The sequence below is a fragment of the Homo sapiens genome, chromosome 7 (assembly GCF_000001405.40).
Source record: "Homo sapiens chromosome 7, GRCh38.p14 Primary Assembly".
NCBI classification, from domain to species: Eukaryota; Metazoa; Chordata; class Mammalia; order Primates; family Hominidae; genus Homo; species Homo sapiens.
Window position 1 is genome coordinate 86,744,128 of NC_000007.14, and position 20,283 is coordinate 86,764,410.

At 37.4% G+C, this 20,283-nt stretch overlaps 1 protein-coding gene across 4 annotated transcripts in view, besides 1 other annotated feature; it reads left to right on the forward strand.

The window, feature by feature from the left end:
- Window positions 1-20,283, forward strand: part of GRM3 (glutamate metabotropic receptor 3) — a 220,971-nt gene that overhangs the window by 100,219 nt on the left and 100,469 nt on the right. The window lies entirely within an intron of this gene.
- Window positions 16,068-16,642: an enhancer, noted in NCBI's record as "OCT4-NANOG hESC enhancer chr7:86389511-86390085 (GRCh37/hg19 assembly coordinates)". NCBI's record gives its function as "activates a minimal SCP1, AML or CMV promoter by ChIP-STARR-seq in primed H9 embryonic stem cells {active_cell/tissue: H9 hESC(primed)}" and the evidence as "EXISTENCE:reporter gene assay evidence [ECO:0000049][PMID:30033119]".

Sequence of the window (20,283 nt, forward strand, 5' to 3'; positions counted from 1 at the left end):
CACCCAGGTCTGGGCATTGCTCTCTTGTGCCTGACCATCAGCATAACTCACACTCCCCTCTGGGAGGATACTTATGACAGAGTATAAGTATAAGTAAGACTATTAGAGAATGTGGAAGCTTTACATGAAAGAGTGTGCAGCAGACAGGCAGTGCTAGAAACACTTGCCCTCATAAGTTTTTGGGATACAGCCCTCCGCAATTATCTTAAGGGGTCCAGAATATTTGGGAAAGATGTCATATTACTATCTTTCCCAAATATTCTGGGCCCCTTAAAATAATTGCAGAGGGCTATCTTACAGATTCTACTCTATAGTGGAGAGCATGAAGAACTTTCCAAGACTAGGCCCCACCAAGAGGAAATACTATCCACAGGAGCATGAGGTTCCAAGGCAGGAGTAGCAAAGATTCCCCAACAGGCCACATGTCATGGGTCGCCCCTAGGGTGTCAGGGACGCTTAAAACCTTTTGCTGCCATATCTACAATGTGAGGTTAGTGTGGGTGAGCACCACCATCTCAGGTAAGAATAAACTCCTACTATATATGCCGGGCAGTCTGTCAGCATTCTGATGCATGAACAGGTGAATAAGGAGCTGAATATACAAAAATAGTGTTAAGAAACTTACAGGAAGTCCAGCATGGTGGCTAAAACCAGTGCTGAGATAGATTCTCTACCGCATGGAATATGATATGCCTGCCTTACAAAAGATACATGAAAAGCACTCCTGGAAATATGTAGAAAGGCACCATCAGAAGCAGACATGGGCTTTCCTTTGTTCCTCACACCCAGGCTCTTCGACTCCTAGCCAACAACCCATGCTGGTCCCCCTTGCTGTAGTCAAATCTAGGTACCTTAGTTGTCTTGGCATTTCATGATCTAGTGTGATAAATGGCTGATTTATGATGTGGAACAAAGTTGGGCTTTCACATTTACATATGTTACCTTACGGAAATTTCCCTTCCATCTCATAACTCCAGAGCTGGCATGTGGGTCATTTTCTTTTCCAGTTGGCTTTGTTAAACAGCAGCAAAATGTCTGGGCGTTTGGCCACAGCAGAGGGGCAGGCAATGCTTGACTGAGATAAAGCCTGTTTGACTTGGCACATGTGCCAGAAACCCCTGAGGGCAGTGGGAGGTATGCTTTATCTAATTATTCATGGCCATGCTGCTGAGTGGAATGTGACATTGGCCAAAGGATAAAGATAGCAGCCTCTATCATCTTAGCATAGCCCACCTTGGAAAAGGAAGGCTCAGATTTAGAATACCACCCTCCAAATCTAGAAACATGGTCACCAAAAAATCTTACTTAAACATCTGGGAAGATGAAAACAATATAAGTAGAAATCTTCCCCGGTCACCTTCAGACAGCTTGGATTCAGGGCTCAAGGCCACCTCACTCTCTGACCTTGGAGAAGCCACATAGTCTCACTAAGCCTCCAATTACAACATAATGTGAATGACTTCCTGCAGAGCTTCTCATGAAGAGCTTAGGAGAATAGGAAATTGGGCTTTGGGCTTTTGGAGTGGAAAAATTTTAGGTGGATTATGCTATATTATCATTATAGTAAAATGTATACATGCCTAATTTTTCTGTCATTCATGGCTAGGAGAAATTTTTAAAAGAAGGGCCACATCTCCAGAGTTTCTAAAAGAAATCTAAAGATTTACAAAACCATGGGAATTTCTTTTGTCTAAAGTTGAAGATAAAGTATCTACCTGATTAAACGAGCTCACTGAGGACAAAGACAGATGTAGTCTCATTCACCTCTGTATCTTGAGTGTCTGGCATGTAAGTGTACAGATTAATATTTGTTTTAATGAGTTAATGATGGAGAGAAAAGAATTAAAACTAAACAGATGTGTCTAATCCCATGCCTAGGAAAAAAATAGGTTCTTGATAAGTATTTTGTTTCCCCTTTTCTCCTCCCTTCCTTTTTATCCAACTTTGTCAAAGATACAAAGCTTCTTTCAGGTAGGCATCAAGCATTAAATATCTTTCAATAGTATTAACTTCCTAAGTAGATTTTTCTAATGTTTTCCTCATCTGGCTCTATAATCTTTATTTTGTGAGTACTTTGTTGATGTTCTGTTCTTAAGTGGAGGCAGGGAGGATGGGTAATGGAAAAGTCAGAAAGAATGGCAGGATAGGTCAAATATATCCATACCACTGAGAAACAAAACTCAATATATGACTAATAGAGGGTCAGTCATGTATTATATATATATATATATATATATATATATATATAATCACTTCAATAGAATTCTGTGCTGCATTTAAGAGGAGACAGGAGTGTTTTGAACTTAAGTGGATAGACTGCTAGAATTCCAGAAATATTTGTCAATACTGAACTTAGAATGAAAAAAAAAATGTGCAAGTTAGAGGATGCCTTAGGGATCATTCAGCTCAACACCTTTATTCTACAAATCAAAAAACTAAAGCTCAGGGACATTCAAAGTCCACATAGCTCAGCAGAATCCAGCCATGGGCTTCATCACCTCTGTCTCACCTTTTAAAATTGCATAAATTCCTAGCCCGATGCATTGCTAATGCCAAAATTCAAGAAAGCTGATTTCACGGGGCTTATATATCACTTCACTCAAAAGAAATATTGGACAGAGATGCAGTGGTATTTTTAGTGATTCTTGGGTACAGCAGCCCATTTGGAATCAGCTTTTTTGAATAATAGGGTTGGCAAATGCCACTATGGCCTGATAAAAAGTAGAAGAAGCCAAGGGCCTCATACTGGCTTCAGATTTGAAAGTCAACTCTGATTTTGCAGATCATGTGTAGCAAAGATGATTGACACCTTTCAGTATGGACAACATGTTCAAAGAGGATTTGGGAATCATAAACTTAGCTCTAGTCCTGGCTCTGGTCCTGGTAATCAAGTCACTTAAAGATGTAGACAAGGCTATTCACTGCTCTAAGCACTCATAGGAGTTGGAAGAGACATTTTATAAGTTCCCTTCCATATGTAAGTGTCCATGATCCCATTATACATTTAATTAGCCTGAGAAAAATTTAAGCAGAGAAGCCTTGAGCCATGCAGCGAAGTTAGCTGACACATCAGCTTTACTATGTTTCAGTATACTCAACAAAGCATGTTTTATCTGTAAAATTTTCTCTTCATTACAGTTTCTAAACCCTCACTAACATGTATCAAAACAGAAATGATAATAGACTTTCTAATACCTTCAGGGTAAAAGGGATTTCAAAGCCATTATTTTCAGAGAAAATTGATGAGATTTATACTTTACATTTTAAGCCATATTTTCTATAAGCTCATTTTATTTTATAAAAAGGTTGTTACATGGGCAATGGTGATATTTAATATCTTTAATCTTATACATAAATCAAAGCCTTTGTTCTCTTTATAGGTTTTATATTGTCTCTAAGCTTCTGCCTAAAATACATTCAACAGGGTCCAGTTATAATCTTCACCAGAAGTACACAAACAGATCAATAAAGACCTTGGGAAGACTCAATTGGGATACCTTGGCACCATCAGTTCTGGTTGCCTATTTGACTGAATCCATTTCCTGCTTCTGCATCCTTACACTGGTAAACATCCAAAATGGTTAAGATCTAAAATACCAACAGAGTAAATGTAACTATAATCAGCTGTTTTTATTAATGATTTCTTCAAGAACATAACACAGTCCAATAAACATGGAGTTGTTCAATGTGGTTGTTCTAAAAGCAGCTAATAGCAGGATGTAATTTGAAGCAGCTTCGGCTCACTTACAGAACCCTTGCTCTGTTAATTGTGATTTCACACCCCACTAAACAGCACAGCCTGGAGCTAACGTTTGCGCAGGGAACAGTTAGTATTCTGTAGTTCAGTTCTCTCCACTGTTGTTCCTCCTGTCTCCCTGTGGTTAACTTCTTCTTTTTTTAAAAGCTTAGTAGACTGAAGTTGTTCCCTTTCACAAGGAAACATTCTTTTTTTCCCTTCACCTGGCAGGAGACAGCCTGTGGATATACCTATTATTTCGCTTTTTGCTTTTGTTTTAATCTTTCACCTTTTCACCATTGTTCTCAGAGCATACACTTTATGTTTCCTACAGCTGACCATCAATCCCTGTTATTAAACAATGGAATATATATATTTTTTGTTTTGGCTCATCCACACTAGTACCCTTGACTCTTTATTTAACTAACCATCCCCCTCAGGAAGTAAGAATATTGTCTAATGAAAGGAAAACGGCTGCAGGAATTCGAAGTCATTTGGAGGCAAGTAACAAGTCTCTGACTAGAAGAAAAATATATATTGGAAGAACCAAGCACAATATGTTACATCCACAGATGTTCCCAAAGAGGCACCACATGCAGACTAGATTTCATTCAGGGGAAGAGCTTTTAAATACATTTTAGGCAAGACCCTAAAATAGAAATACCTGAATAATCCCCTTCCCCAGGGACTCCGATATTTCGTAAGAAAATTAAGAAGATCAAGGGTCAGCCTGGATGATACCGGAGGCTTTCTTACTAAAACATTTTATAATCTATAAATACTCATATTTTAAAAACAAAAATTTAGTTACAGTGCAGGGGAGAGTGGCTATTTAGAGAATGGAGCAGTGGGACTATTACATTAAAAGGTATACTGTGAAATTTTTCATAGAATAGGGCTACTGTCCTGTTGTTCACTGATGGTCATGAAATTAACTCAAAGTCCTCAAAAGAATACTTATCTTCTCCTTTTGGCTTACCCATGTCGAAGATAGTGTCATTGTTCTTGACATTCCATATGTTAATCCTCCGCAGTTAATAATAGTGAATTCCAAGACAGAGGTCCAGAGTAAGTGCTGAAGAAGAATTTGTTTAAATCAATACCCAAAGATCATTCAAAACACACCCAGATGCTAACACCTTAGTTAGATATTTTATGCAAAGTTGAGGCAACATTAGTAATATTGAAAGAAACTTTTGTGCTCATTCTTTGTACAGCTTAAAATAACATATAAGGTGATATTTCACATGTAAAAAATCAGGGCTTATTTTCTAATTCTTACTACTGGCATAGTTTTTCTAGCTAATAAAAATAGCTTTTAAACAAAATCTGCTTTTCCCCTGATCTTCAGCTTTCCTCTGGGTGTCATGTGAAACACCATCCTTTGGGTGACATCTTGTGTGCCCCACCACAGGTCCTATAAAGTGGCAGCCCTCCCGTGGTGAAATGGGTTACTTGTAGGCTGTGAGAAGGATGCTTGGGTAGTTCAGCATCTACACTACTGAGATAATTTTGGCTACATTTCGCAGGAATTGCAGTTCAGGGCTTTTGAAATTCCCCAAGGTTATTACCCCATATGTATGCTAAACGGCAAAGTGTAAATGTCCTGTGCTAAGCCACAAGTAAAAGAAACATCTGGACAGTGGATAGAATCAGCACCAAACACGGCCTTGATGAGAAGGCTAATGGATGCCAGATGTGGAAACAAATTCATGTACAAAGGTCCCCTCTCTAGGCAGGATCATTTCTAAGTGTCGTGACCTAGAAGAAAAGTTCTCCTGAAACTGAAATGAAGCATGTATAGACTTCAGAAAAAAGTATTTTTGAGGCAATAATAATGTAGGAATTTAAGTTAAGCCAACACAAATATGTTCTAGGAAAGAGAAGCACCAGATAGACAAACAAGCTGCTGGAGGTGCCTAGATTGTCACATCTTCCTTACTGCTTTTCAGAGTCCTCTGAGACATTAGGACACAATTCTCAACAGATGGGAGTTATAAAAGGAGTTATCCCCAGTCAAAAACTGGGAATCAGATAATTCTATTCCACTACTCAGTGACTGAGGAGTCCTGAGCAAGTAGCACTTAAGTTTGCCCCTAAGCTAGTTTTACTCATCTATTTATAGCAGAAATCTTGGAAAGAGTAAATGAGCATATGTAAAGCAACTTGCATACAAGTTCAAAAAAAATTGGTTACTTTTCCCATTCAAGAATGAAGAAACTAGTGAAAAAGAAAGCTGAGGTTTGTCGTAAAGTGATAAAAGGAGAAAATATATATTCATTAATTTAGTCAACAAATATTTATTGCACACCTAATATATGCCTGGCAATGCATTATATATCAAAAAGAAAGATTATGCTAATCTACACAGAATTGCTGCAGCTCACAAGTTTAGCTACGCTAACTAATTTACACAAAGCTTTCCAAGTATCTTGCACTACAGTTTACTTTGTGACCAATAGCATGCTTGTGTAATACAGACTATGACCAAATATGTAACACCAGTTTTGTCTAGAATAATGCAACTTGGACAAATCAAATGATGTAGGCTTTACTAGTTCTATGGGCTAAGTAACTGAATTAGCTTGCCCAGACTTGGAAACATATGCTGTGTTAGGAATGAAAAGAAAAAGCATGAGGAGTTATCTTAGTGTTTCCTAGCCACTAAAGAAATTGGGCCGTAAAAGAGAAAAGAAGTGAATGGATAAAATCATTGAAACTGGTGCTGCTAAGATGAAATTTAGAGTGACAAGAGATATTTGCATCGTTCAAGTGACCACAGGTGAAGAATACAAGTTTAGAGCAATATCTTAAATAGACTAAAGTAGATTAAAAAAAAAAAGTGTGTGAAATCTGAATGGAAGAAGGTTGCAACAATCAGAAACAAAGATCAATAAAAGATTGATGTTATCTAAAAATAGCAACAGAGAAAAGAAAGCCAAACTTGGAGCTACTGTGAGCAAAACAGCAACTAGGACTTGGCGAAAGCTTGAGTACAGAGAAAAGAATGTATACCTAAAAGGTCAGGATAGGGAGGATAATTTAAACCAACTTTCAATACAATTTGTGTGAACATTTTAAATATGAGAGTCCACTGTAACTAGAAATATAGGGCATAAGGAAAATAATAGAAGTGGATATATGAAATATATTCTTATGACTGCCACCTATTGATATTTTAATCTTAGACCAGTGAGTTGATCTCTGCTGTCATCAATTTCCCCATTGTCTGAAATGGCATCAGGTATCACCGTGGGCAAGACAGCCACATTCAAAGGTTAACTGCATCTGGAAAGAGCAGTAGTAATCCGAAGCTCTTAAGCTCTGCCATGCAGTTTGCCCATCCAGTTGGAAATGGTAATCTATCCCAACCTTCATGGTAGAAGCAACCAATTACGGCAATGAAGGAGGAGGCTGTGGCCCTCTTCAGATGTGTCACACTGGAGTGTGCTGCCAAAATAAATTTGAGTTATGTTTTGTTTAGCTGTTAATTGTTATCAGAGTCCCAACAAACTTCATTTACTGTATTTTGCAGAGATGCCGTCCTACTGCTCCTTGTATCTTTAGAACCTACCACAGGGCCTGGCACATAATAGACATAATAAGCAATTTTGTTTAAATCATTGAACATAATTTTTTGAACAGTGGAACATAGTAAAACCACAGTATAATTTCATTCACTTTTCAGAAATCAAGCTGTGAAAGTAACAGTTGCCTGACTTAGAATCTTCTGATTGGAACTCACTCTTCACCTTTCTCTTCCCATGCAGCCTAAACTATAAAGTTGCAAGTTCCAAATGTCAGGCAGTGTGTCACTGGTAGTATTTGTCATTTACACCCAGACTCATGGTTTCTGCTTGTGTACAGAAAGGATAACAAAGTGACTGGCTTGCTATTATAATGAGAAGGAGGCCTCTGCACGCCCATCACTCACTTGCAGTGAGGTATGGCATCTCATCTTCCTCTAGGACTTCTCACCAGGCATTAGAGGATTCTCTCATCAGAGTTAGTGCTGTTAGTAAGCCCACAGTTGCAAATTCATGTCAATACTCCTGTGACCTATTTGTTATATACTGTCATTTTTAAAAAATGCACAGCCACACTAGCCATTCTTTTTCACTTCAGACCTGCTTTTGTTATTTTAAATTTTCATTGAAGTGTAATATACATACAGAAAAATGCATGTCATAATTGCACAGCTTTATGACTTTTCACAAACTGAACACACCTCATGAAACAAAAGTCTGGATCAAGAAACACAAATTTGCCAGCACTCGAGAAACCCTCTCAGGCTTCCTACAAGTCAGTAACCTCTCATATTCACAAGAGTAAAATCTGTCTGACCTTACAATACTGTAGATAACTTTGGTATGTTTAGGCTTTTATATAAATGGATTCATGCAATACGCACTCTTTGGTGCCTAGCTCTGCCTTTATTACTTGGAGAAATGGGCCCTTGTGTAACATACACATGCCATAATTTTATGCCCATAATTTGAGTATAATACAAAGAAAGGAAAGCAAACCTAGAAGCTGTGTTATATGAAGGCTTTGTGTTATTCTTAGTCTTTTTAAAGCACAGGTAAAATCAGAACCAGTTTAAAAGTTGAAAGCTATACAAGAGATATGTTAGTCTTGTTAGTTGAAAATCTGTCTCAAATTATATCTGTGTTGGGAGATTCCTACATTGAAATGTGTACAACAAGATAGTAGGGGTCAATATTCCCTGAAACTCATCAAGGACAAGAGGGCAGAAGACAGCCCAGACTTGCTGTCACAGGCACAGTAGTTGCCATGGAATTTAAAGACTAATAAGTGTTATAGAGGACCCAAACCTCCTATAACTAAGGCCTCTATTGTGATGGGATAGTGAAAATTAAGTCAGAAACAACTTGGACACCAGAATTTTAGGAAATATTCTTCTTTTGACATTAGGGGTCAGTTAATGTCCTAGTCCAGATTGACTCAGGATAAGACGTGCCCAGCCCCCTTCTAACAAAACTCAGTACAACAGGAGAGGATCAAGGGAGTAAGGATGCTAACATTTTCTGGAGAAACAGAATATATCAACTGAGTGTGAGCACATGTGTCCTTTTGAGGAGAAGGAGATGATCACTTTCCATCTTCTCCTGGCATATTATGGTATTTAGCACCCATAAACACTAAACAATTCAGAATTTACTGGAGACCTTGGAACTTTGATTCCCTCATTGCATCATCCGCACAGCCAGCAGTTCCCCAAGATCACACACCACCTTACACCTCAATGAGAAGAAAGGCAGAATGCTAGCTGATGGGGATCATTTGGAGAGTCCAGAACACCCCCAATTTCATTAGAGTCATTGATAAATTATCCTCACTCCAACAATTTTAATAATAGCTAACAGTTATTGAGCTAATGTTATGTTTTGTTTCATTTAATCCTAAAAAAACATGAAATAGGTATTGTTCTTGTCTTCATTTTACACATATATAAAATGAGAGCCAAAGAGGTGGCCATGTGCTGACATCATGAAGTAGATTCAAACATTTCACTGAAGAGGCCAAACCCTAACACAGTGGCTTTCAAAATGTTTTTTTAACATGTCCCAGTAAGAAATTATTTTACATTGTAACCCAGAATAAATATTCATATACACATGCATACACACCAAAATATCTTAGAAAATAATATTCACCCTTTCTACATAAATGCCTTATATTCATATTTTGATATTTTTATTATATTTTAAGCTCTTCTATTTCCTTTTAAAATGCTCGCTGTGATTTGCTAATATGGATTATGACACTTGAATAGGTTGTGAAAATTTGATCTGCAGTTAGAAAAACTCTGATCTAAGGTACTATACCATATTGCCTTCCCAATCAATTTCTACTTGATTTTCTAGGAATGGATTTTATAAGAGCATTGTTAAATTTACCACCAGTGGTGTGCTGGTAAATATTTAACAATCAAATCTTGGGAACTTATGGAGGGACTGATTTTTAGTGTTTGCTGATTTCTGTGATGTAAGCGCTCTCACCACGGCCAATTTTAAGGTGCCAGCATGGTGACACTGAACACAGCCTTGGGAAGAGATATGTGTAATTGGTTTTTGAGAGATGGTACCAGCCAACTACTGCATACTAATGATTGTCCACAGAATTTTCCAGCTAAGCAGAACTGAAAAAATATGTTCTAAGGTCACTTAAATGATAGGAGAGTTCCATTACGCCAGGTTTAACTTATCAATGGCATTTAATTGTCTATCTGATGAGATCAGGATTATTCTAAGCCTGAAATCTCATAGTATCTGATATACACAAGTTGACTTCTATTTGAGTATGGGGTTCATACATGCTATAACTTGAAGAACATCAGTTAGGCCTTGATACTTTACTATCTGTACACAAAGGTATCTACAATTCCATGATTAAAAATGTCTCTCTCTTTAATGTTTTAACCCTGTGTTTTGGGCCATTCAAAAATTTGATCATCCCTAAATGGGTAACAAATTAACTTGCATTAATGTGCCAAAACTGGTGGTTTAATATATCAGATGACTTGATTGTGGTAAGAGAATTGAGAATATGGGACTTCTGATAATAGCATAAAGAAAAGATGATTCTGGAGTCACTGAATTTCTGGAAAGAGCTGTCATTAATACAGTAGCACAGTGGGAGCCATCATGAAGCCTGTGGCCATCTGAGATGGCATCTATATGTAAGGGTATAAATGGGATAAAAGTTATGGGATTAAATAAAATAATCTATGTAGAACATTAACCATAGTTTTAGCACATAGTAGGTGCCCAATAAATTTTATTATCTTTAATGTAAAGGGTATGGGAAAGACAGAGAGAGGCTATTTGGGAATCTTTTTGGGCAAGTTATATAAAACCAATTTCAAACTGATTTCAGCAAAACCAAAAGGGAATTTATTGTCTCATGTTACTGGGAAATTTTAGATGGATTAAGCAGCACGGGTGTCACTATATCCCCATTCCTTGGCTCTGCATTTCTCTGTGTTTATTCTCAGACAGGCATTTGTCTCATGGTGGTAAGATGCCCACCAGCAGCTCCCATACTTACAAGAGCTTACATGCATTCTTTTAAGCCACTCTACCAGAGAGAGGATGTTTTCCTCCTAGTGGTTCTGAAAAATTTTCTTAAATCATCCTGCTTGGCAATGATTTGGTGACAGGCTCATTCCTTAACCAACTGCAGTAGCCAGGGACATTTGACTCTGGTTAATCAGGTGTGTCATAAGCCACCCATCAAGCCAGGAATGAATTCACCTCACTTTAGAAGCATATGCATTGGTTCCCGAAGGAAAACTGTGGTGTAGTTTCCAGGAAAAAAAAAAAGGAAATGGATGCTAATCTGTCAGACCAAAATGGAAAAATTCAGCTCTGTTTTAGCTGATTGGGATTTTGCTTAAAAGTGAAACTTCCCAAATGTTGAAATTTTATTCAGCAAGTCAATTCAGGTATGACATTCAAAAGGCTTAACAACTAGTATCAAGTTATCGAAATGGGCAGTAATCATAACCTTGGAAGTGGAAACTAAAGACCCTACTGTGCCAGAATCTAACCCTTTAGTTGCTGGGTCATAAGGAAATATGGGGGTTAAGGATGGGAGAGGGTAGGTGGAGATATGCCAGAGAGGGGACCAGAATAGCCAGAAAGATGGAGAAATGCTCAAAGGGCTTGGTAGGATTGGCTATACACCAACTTGATGGAAATATTTAAATATTTTAACAACTGGTATGGCTGTACCAGTGTGTGCCAGCTGGGTTTAAGCCTTGACTAAATCTATTAGCAGCAATAAAATTAAAGAAAAATATTCTCTCAAATGCTACTTTCAGAAACATGGCTGTTGAATTATGGGGATGGCTCTTTTAGTAGAAGGCTCTAGAATGCCTAAGGGGGTTTCCAGCAAACAGGATATAGGATGAAGGCAAACATATATATACAGAGAGAAGTAAAATCAAACCATAAAATAAACAAAATGGTAGTGGAACTTTTCTCACTTTTTAAAAAAATTTGTGACAAATATAGCTTTTATGAAATTAAGCTAACAATATCTAATGTCTAGACTTACAGATTTTCTTCTGTATTAACCCACATATTGACCATTTTGGTATTGTTCATTCCTTCTTGTAGGTTTGATTTTCCATCTGGTGTTGTTTCCTCTTACTTTGAAGTAATTCCTGTAGCATTTCTTTGTTTGTTTGTTTGTTTTTGTTTCCTGAAATGGAGTTTAACTTCTGTGCCCCCAGACTGGAGTGCAATGGCGTGATCTTTGCTCACTGCAACCTCCTCCTCCTGGGTTCAAGTGATTCTCCTGCCTCAGCCTCCCAAGTAGCTGGGATTACAGGCACACACCACCAAGCCCAGCTAATTTTTGTATTTTTAGTAAAGACGGGGTTTCACCATGTTGGCCAGGCTGGTCTCGAACTCCTGACCTCAAGTGATCCACCCACCTTGGCCTCCCAAAGTGCTGGGATTACAGACATGAGCCACGGTGCCTGGCCCTCCTCTAGCATTTCTGATTGTGTAAGTCTACTAATTGTGAAATGTCTGTTCTAATTGCCTATAAAAAGTCTTTATTTCAACTTCTTAAAGTATAGTTTAACTGGATAGAGAATTCTGTGGTGCTTGACCAGTTTTTCCCCAGAACTTCAAAGGTGCCATTTCATTAAGTTATTTTTTCTGATAAGTCAGCTATCATTAATATTGTTGTTACATTACACATATGTGCTGCTTTATTCTGATTGTTTTCAAGGATTTTCCTTTACCTTTACTTTAATCAATTTGGCTATGATTTAACTACATATGGTTTTATTTATATTTATCCTGCTTGAGAATTGCTGAGCTCCTTGGTTTTGTAATCTTATGTTTATCATCAAATTTGGGGAATTTTTTGGCCATTACTTCAAGTATTTTCTCTCATTCATCTCTCCTTCTGAAACATTAATTTTGCATGTGTTAGACTACTAAATATTGTCCAACTGGACACTGAAGATTTGTTGAATTTCTTTTCTATCTTTTTTCTCTCTGATTGGATTAGATTATTTCTTTTGGTCCATTTTCAAGTTTATTATTTTGCCTCTCCAATCTGTTGCCTCCTGTCATGAAATCTTTATTTTAAATATTGTACTTCTGAGTTCTAGAATCTCCATATAGTATTTTTATAGTTTCCCTTCTCTGCTGAGATTCCCCAACTATTCATTCATTTTGTTGTGTTTTCGAACATATTTATAATAGTCCAAGTTCTTGTCTGTTAATTCCAAAATGTGCACCATTTCAGGTCTTATTTCAAATAATGCTTTCTCTCTTTGCTCTGGGTGCTGTTTTTCTGTTGTCTTATATGTCAAGCAATTTATACTTACATGCTGGTTATTATAGGACATATATTTGTAGGCAGTCTGAATTATGTCATCTTTCTTTAAGAGTTTGAGTTTTGTCCTAACAGGCACATAAATAAATACTGGTGGATCATTTTACTTTTGTTAGACTTAGTTTCATTCTTTATAAGGACAGGTCTGTTTTATACTTAGTCCTATGACATGGCCCTAATTCCAGAGCTTGGCCTTTACTAATAGAGTACAGCCAGTCTTTCTAAGGTTTTAATAAAAAGCACAAAGTGCCTAGTTTGATCTCTGCACTCCGGCTGGCTTGGAACTCTAATACCTCTCGGATATGTCTGCCAGGCCTCACTGAGTCTCACCCTGTGGATGACCACTCAGATCTGCCCACCAACTCCATGCAGCTCACTGCCCCACAAATAGCAACCACTTTAGCAGCTTAGAATTCTATTAAATAATCCCTGCCTCCTCAAGTCAGAAAGACTGCCACTGCTACATGGCAGGAAAGTGCCCTGTGCAGAATACTGGGGAATCTATGGGGTAACCATGGGGTTTCCCTCATGTGTTTTTTTTTCTGTCAAAGATCATAGTTTGCTTCATATTTTTTCTACAATTTTGTAGTTATTTTCAGCAGGAGGGTAAATCCAGTTAACAGTCCAATATCTGTACTTGACTTCTCCTAGTAACCATGTCATAGGAATGGTCACCAGGAATATGTGAATGATAGAAGTGATATCTTTGTAAAGACATGTGTGACATATGTTCTGTTTTGTAGACTTGTTGGAGCAATAATGGTAACGTCTTCCTAAATCCTAATTCTGTATTTATTACTGCTGACTACCATCTTGAGCAATTTGCTTTACTCTTTCTCTCAGTCCCTCTCTCACTCTCTACTTAGCAATAGATGATATAATTATTTCTTACCAGGAAACAGAAGAGTTAATTCACTATGCAGAATACTCTGAAATTATATAAAAAGGGACTGTATACATCTAGGAAATTATTAATAATAGCCACTTGATGGGTCATATTGCCAATTGGTAAAAATATCCTCCTAAAAATGGTATTCCTCCATTTCTGCTCCTTCACCATTTTGTCCAGAGCTAGAGAGAAAGCTTTTGAGAAATCCAGTTTCTACACTCGGTTTATGCTGACAAACCTGAAACTTCTATTAGACTTTGCAGCTTGGAAGAGGTAAAGGACAAAGGTGGATCACAGGGAATTTGGAGAGGCTCTAATTCAGAGGCTTTGTAATGAGGGTAAGGAACTTGAGGATGCTAAAGCAGCTGAAATGGCAACACACACATGTGTACGTGCACACATACCATGAAAATACTGTGCATTTTGATGCTTAGGAAAATAAAGGTTTACTTTGAAGGGAAGCGAATAAATCTGCAATATATTCTATACTGAGTCACTCAACAAAGTGAATACTATTGATGGGAAGTAAATTACCAGCATTCACCAAAGTTTAGGACAATCTGTTTGCCTACCTCATAAAATCATTTTCCTCTAAATTCAGAAGATAAAGAAAATAGGAGATGAATAGGAGATGTGATTTTTATTTTTTAATTTACCTTACTTAGTTTTTTTGGTCAAGGTCGAATAGTGAAGTCGGCCTTTCTTCTTTTGGCCTCATCACCATCCGTTTCTCAGCTCCAATATGCCGACTGGCAACGTCCCTCTCTTCAACATACCCAGGGTTCTTGGGTGTTTTCATTTTATCTATTAATAAAATAGGTTTATATAAGAGGGTCTTATCAATTAATTCCCATGATTTGACCTAATGTTTTTGTTGTTTAAAATTTCACACACATTGTGGGATTTCAAACAGCCTTAAACTCAGAAAATTTGAAGGAAAGCAGAACTCTTCTCCCTAACTTTAAATCTTAGTGCATAAGCCTGGCCTCCTCTATTCTGCCCCGTCCTTCATACTTTGAAGGAACTTAACCTGTCATTTGATGTATTGTTTTCCATTCCTCCTAACCCCTCTCAGACCAATAACATGTATTCTAATTCTTTTTTCTCTAAATGCTCTCAAAATTTCCAGTTTTAATTTATACTTTTCTTCCTGTAAAAAATCAACCGGCAATTCAGCATCACAAAGTCAGATCAAAGATATTTGGGTCAAATTTATCCAGGGCCAAAGTTGAATTTTGCCCTACTATAATGTCATTTTGAAAATGACAGATCTTTTTAGCAATCTTTGTTATCTGAATGAAATTTCCAAATTATTTTTTCAATCTCCTGATCAATCTTTCTAAAACTTGCATGCTACTGGGAATTTATTATTTAACCAACTTTTGACAACTGTGTGTGAGGCACTGTGGAACATACAACAATATCTAGAGTATGCTCCTTGATATATAGTAGTTTACAAACTAATGGTAAAGTAAGAATAATTTTCAATTTAAAAACTTTGCAAATAAAACACAAGACAAAATATGATCCTCATGATAAACATAGCACAAAGTATATGGGAATTTAGCAAATGAAGGAACCCCTTACAGTGGAGTAACATGGAAGGCTACAAGGAAAAGAAATTTTAAGGTAGATCTACTAAAAATGATTGGGTTTGAAATGATGAGCTACTCATAATAGCTTCCTAAGACTTCTGGGGAAAAATACCCTTTTTCTCTAGTAAAAGAATTACAGTCATGCAATGGCATATCTCCTATTAAAAATGCCAATATAGCTACAGCGTCTGTTTGTTTACCCAGCTGAAAATGGCAGTCTAGAGCAACGGCTATGCCTTTTGTTGCCCATAATACTGACAGCTGAAAAATTACAGAATCATAATCAAATTGCACATACTAGGACTAACCCTAACTTTGTTCCAGATTGATTGAGTGTGCAGGATTTGAGCACTCTCAGAAACCCTTCAGCAACTTAAGGATTTATTTCTGGGAAAGAGTATGTATGGTTTCTGGCATTTTATCTCCCAGGTAGACCCTTTCCTTTCCCTGGATAAACTACTTTTGTATTGACTGAAAGTGCATTTCATTTCCGACACCGAGTCCCTGAGCAAAGAATGGATGAAAAGACATATTATCATATGCAGAGTACAGAAATGCTTTCAGTTCATATATTGCAGGGGTTATATTCATAGCAAACATCTGAGATTCTATTAATGCATGAATTAATAAAACATTGGTGAGCAGGTTGCCTACAGAGAGGGCTACACATGCTTGTTTACAGTTGACGCATCACTCATCATCCCCGAATGGAGAACTTTGACTGTAGAGATGCAATTCTCCAGCTGCATATGAATGTGGCTGCAGTAGGGAGCCTGTTTATCTGAGGAATGTGCTGCTGGCTGATTTATAATGAAAAGAACCGGAAAAGAGGTGGTTGGTGCCCTTTCACACAATCCGATAAACTGTTACACAGAGATAACAGTGGCATTGAATTAAACATGTTTGTCTATTTTTCAATGTTACTTTTTTTTTTAACTTTCTTAGGGCTTCATTTTAAACAGTGCTAATTGTCTCTGATTATGCATAGTGCTACAGTATTAATCATTATAAGTTCTGCTATAAAGAAAAAGTAAATAAAAATACAGTGTATTTAAACATTAATTGATTTTTGATTTGTAATTCTCTAAAATGACATTAAATGTTACTTAGATATGCCCTGTCACAGAGCTAAAAGGAAAAAATATTTTACATGACATTGTCATCCCCCAACTTATTTTTATGGTCTGCATATCTAATTTTTAAATTTATATAACACATGTAGTATGAATAAATCAGTTTTTGAGTATAGCACTTAACAATTATCATGTTGAAGGAAACCAATGGTATACAAACTTTCAAGATTTTCACTAATGATGAAAATAGTTCATAAAAACAGAGATGCATACTTTTCTATCACTCTTTATATAAAAATGTGTAAGCATTTAGAATGTTATTTGACAGCAGGGATGATGTTCATTTGTTTACAACTAAAGTATATATCCTGGGTATCCAACCCATAGCCTAGTGCACACATAGTGGGTGTTCAATAAATATTTCATAAGTGAATGTGTCTCTGAGGCTTTGAGATAGAAGAATGTGCATATTCCTTATTTAGTATTCTCCTGACCAAAAACTTAAGCAGTAAATGTAGGTCAGTTCAGGTCTACATCTCTCCTGGCTTCCTAGATGCCAGTCTCAGTTGCAATATTCAAGTACAAAGGCAGTATTTTTTCTTGCATGATACAAATTCATTACTATATTTCTACCTGTTGGTGACCCTACCATCAAAGAGTGCAATAGGGGAAATGCATCTGATGTGACAAGGTAGGTAATGAAGCAAAAATAATGTATTTCTCTTATTTAATTCCCATTTCCCATACCATAAATAAAATAGTAAAGGGTCATGTGCAAACATAGATATCATGGATGTCTATATTCCTTCAAGAAACATTCGTTGAATTCTTTTACTATACCAGAACGTAAACAAAGAGAAATAAAACACAGTCCTTACCTGTGAAACAGGTAAACTGATAGACACTGTTGCCTTCTTTATCATTTTTGTTCATATAATTTTTATCTCTTTATGAATTTGGTAACAGGCTCTATTAATCTGTTCCTTCCCTATTTGAAGGACAGGCCAAAGATCCAGTTTGGACAGGAGAGACTATTTCTTTCAGCGTAATGCTGTGTTTCATTTGAAGTCTTTTTTGGCTAAGAGCCCTTTCCCAACAGAGAATTAAGCTTTCTATAGACTATAAGGTAATCTTTATTTGAGTAGCCAAACTTTCTTTACATTCAAAAGATGTCTACACTTTTTGCAAAGACACATGGTCAGCCTGTGTTGATGGCCTTCTTTTAATTAGCTATTCTGTTTTACTAGGCACATAAAACAATTATTTTATAGAGAAATTTCTGCATCTTTATCATTAGCGATAATGATCGCAGTGTCTTTTGCCTTCCATGGCAGTTTTTCTTCAAAGGGAATTGCACGTAAAGATCAAAGAGACCAGAAATTGATATGAAACAAAAAAATTCTACTACAGTATCAACTTTTTAAAAAAATTATTATTATTAGACTTTCTGGTACCCTGTGGCAGATCTCCCAGGGAGGCTCTGAGTTAATACTGAGCATTCCAATGGCTGCTGCCATCAGTGCTGAGATTCACACCTAAACAAACAGACAAAACATACCCCAGCTGACTCTGTGGCTCAGGAAAACAGCCCATCATTCGCTGCATGTGAAAGGAACAGAAAGTAAGCAGAAATCTGTGTTTTAAAGGGCACTGCTAATATGAAAAGGGAGAAATGTCAAAAATGTTGAAGTAAACACTGGACTAGCTCCTGTCTTGCTTGTTTCATTGAGTTTTTTTCTTCCTTGGCACCTAAAAAATTCTAAATGCTGTGCCATTTCATTAATTCTCAATGAGCACACAAGAAAACAAATATAAATCAAAATAGCAATAGCAAACATTTCTTGAACAAACTACAACAGGAATATAAAGCCAGAAGTCAACAGTTTGATTGGGGAAGGGAGATAAGACAGAATACTTGATCTTTCCTGGTAGTAACTGTTGAGTCTTAAATTGGTAAGTGGCTATTTGCTGGAGAAATTGGTATAGAAGGACATTCTTGGCAAAAGGGAACAGCATGAGCAAAAGCAAGGGGTCATCAACACCCTAAACACCTACTGAGTGCACATAGTTCAATATATCTGCAGCTTAAGATCTGAAGGCAGAGGTAGGCCCATGCAGATAAGCATGGTGAGCAGTAGGACTTTAGAGCTAGCCAGGGACAAGATCATAAAGCACTGAGAAGAGATTTATAATTAGTTAATTCTTAAATCTGTGGGCAAGGGAAACTCAGTATACATTGATAGAAGATGGGCTACTCTGAATAGTAATTGAGATTGTGCATTAGAGTGTCTCCCCCAATGAGACATCATTCAAATTGCTAACATTTGCTAATTTATCTGAGAGCACATGAATAGTGTGGCTTTTAGGCATCTTGATTGAGTCTTGGACCAGCTAGGAGGGCCCTTCCTTCATAAAACCCTTCCAACACACAATCATGTGTGAAGGTTGAAAAGCAGACAGGCATGCTCAACTAGAACACACAAGGGCATGTGGCTGCAACCTGTCAGAAGAATGCTCCAGGAGTCTGATGCAGTCAGATCTCTCACTTGACTCTGAAAATAATACGTTCATCTTATCTTGGGGGATAGAAGTAAGCAGGCTGTGTGAATGTGCTGACCAAGTGTTTGCTCTAGTGCTAGAAAGCTGAGTGTCAAAGAATTCAACAGCAGGTACATAGGTTCATGTGTGCATGCAACTAGACTACTCCACACCAGAGTTTTGGAAAGCTCTCTAGAAAGATCCCAGACTACTGTCCAAAACATGATCCTCACAGCAAGGCTTTGCCTGATTCCCAATAGATTCATACGTTCTAGCCTAGAATGTAAAAAGATGCTCAATTCACAGTAGCTACAGTCAACTGTGTGCACCCCAGCACTGGCATTCATTGCACTACCTGAGATGTGACGACAAAATGAGGAGTTGCCTCACTCTGGATAGGGGAGGCAGCCACCAGCAATCACACTTGCCCCATCATCTATAGTTGTACAGGTTATACAACAAAAAGTTGAGAAATCATGTACTTTTAAAGGGGGTATCTTTGTCTAATGCTCAAAACAGTGCTTTGGGGGGTGGTAGCAGCTCTCTAGGAATTTATTGCTAGGGTCCTGCTACGAATTACAAGAGCTCAGCATAGTGGGGATAAGGAAGAAGTGGTAGCTTTGGGAGATGTTAAGCGGTTAGATTCTGCAGGGCATAGTGGCTAATTGAAAGATGGTAGCAGGGGGTGAAGTGGAGAAGACTCTAGGGTGCAGATTTCTGGCCTGAGAGCCTGGAAACAGAGAAGATCCATTCATAGACACGCAGACTTTGAGGTGTCTGAAGGATGTGTGGGTAAAGCTGTTTAACAGGCAGTTGACCTAAGAAGTATGGAGCTCATTTAAGTGGTAGTTGAAACTGAAAATAGATGAGTTGGCCCAGGGAGAGGTAGTGGGAGGATGGGGGAAGGAAGGTGTTAAACAATGGAATTTGAGATGTTGTCAAGATGAAGCATGATAACAGAAACCTAGGAAGTTGTAATAGGTAGAGAATAGTCAAGATTTCAATTAAGGTCAAGTAAAATGAGAACTACAGTGAGTTTATAGTTTATTCAATTTAGAAATAAGTAGCAGC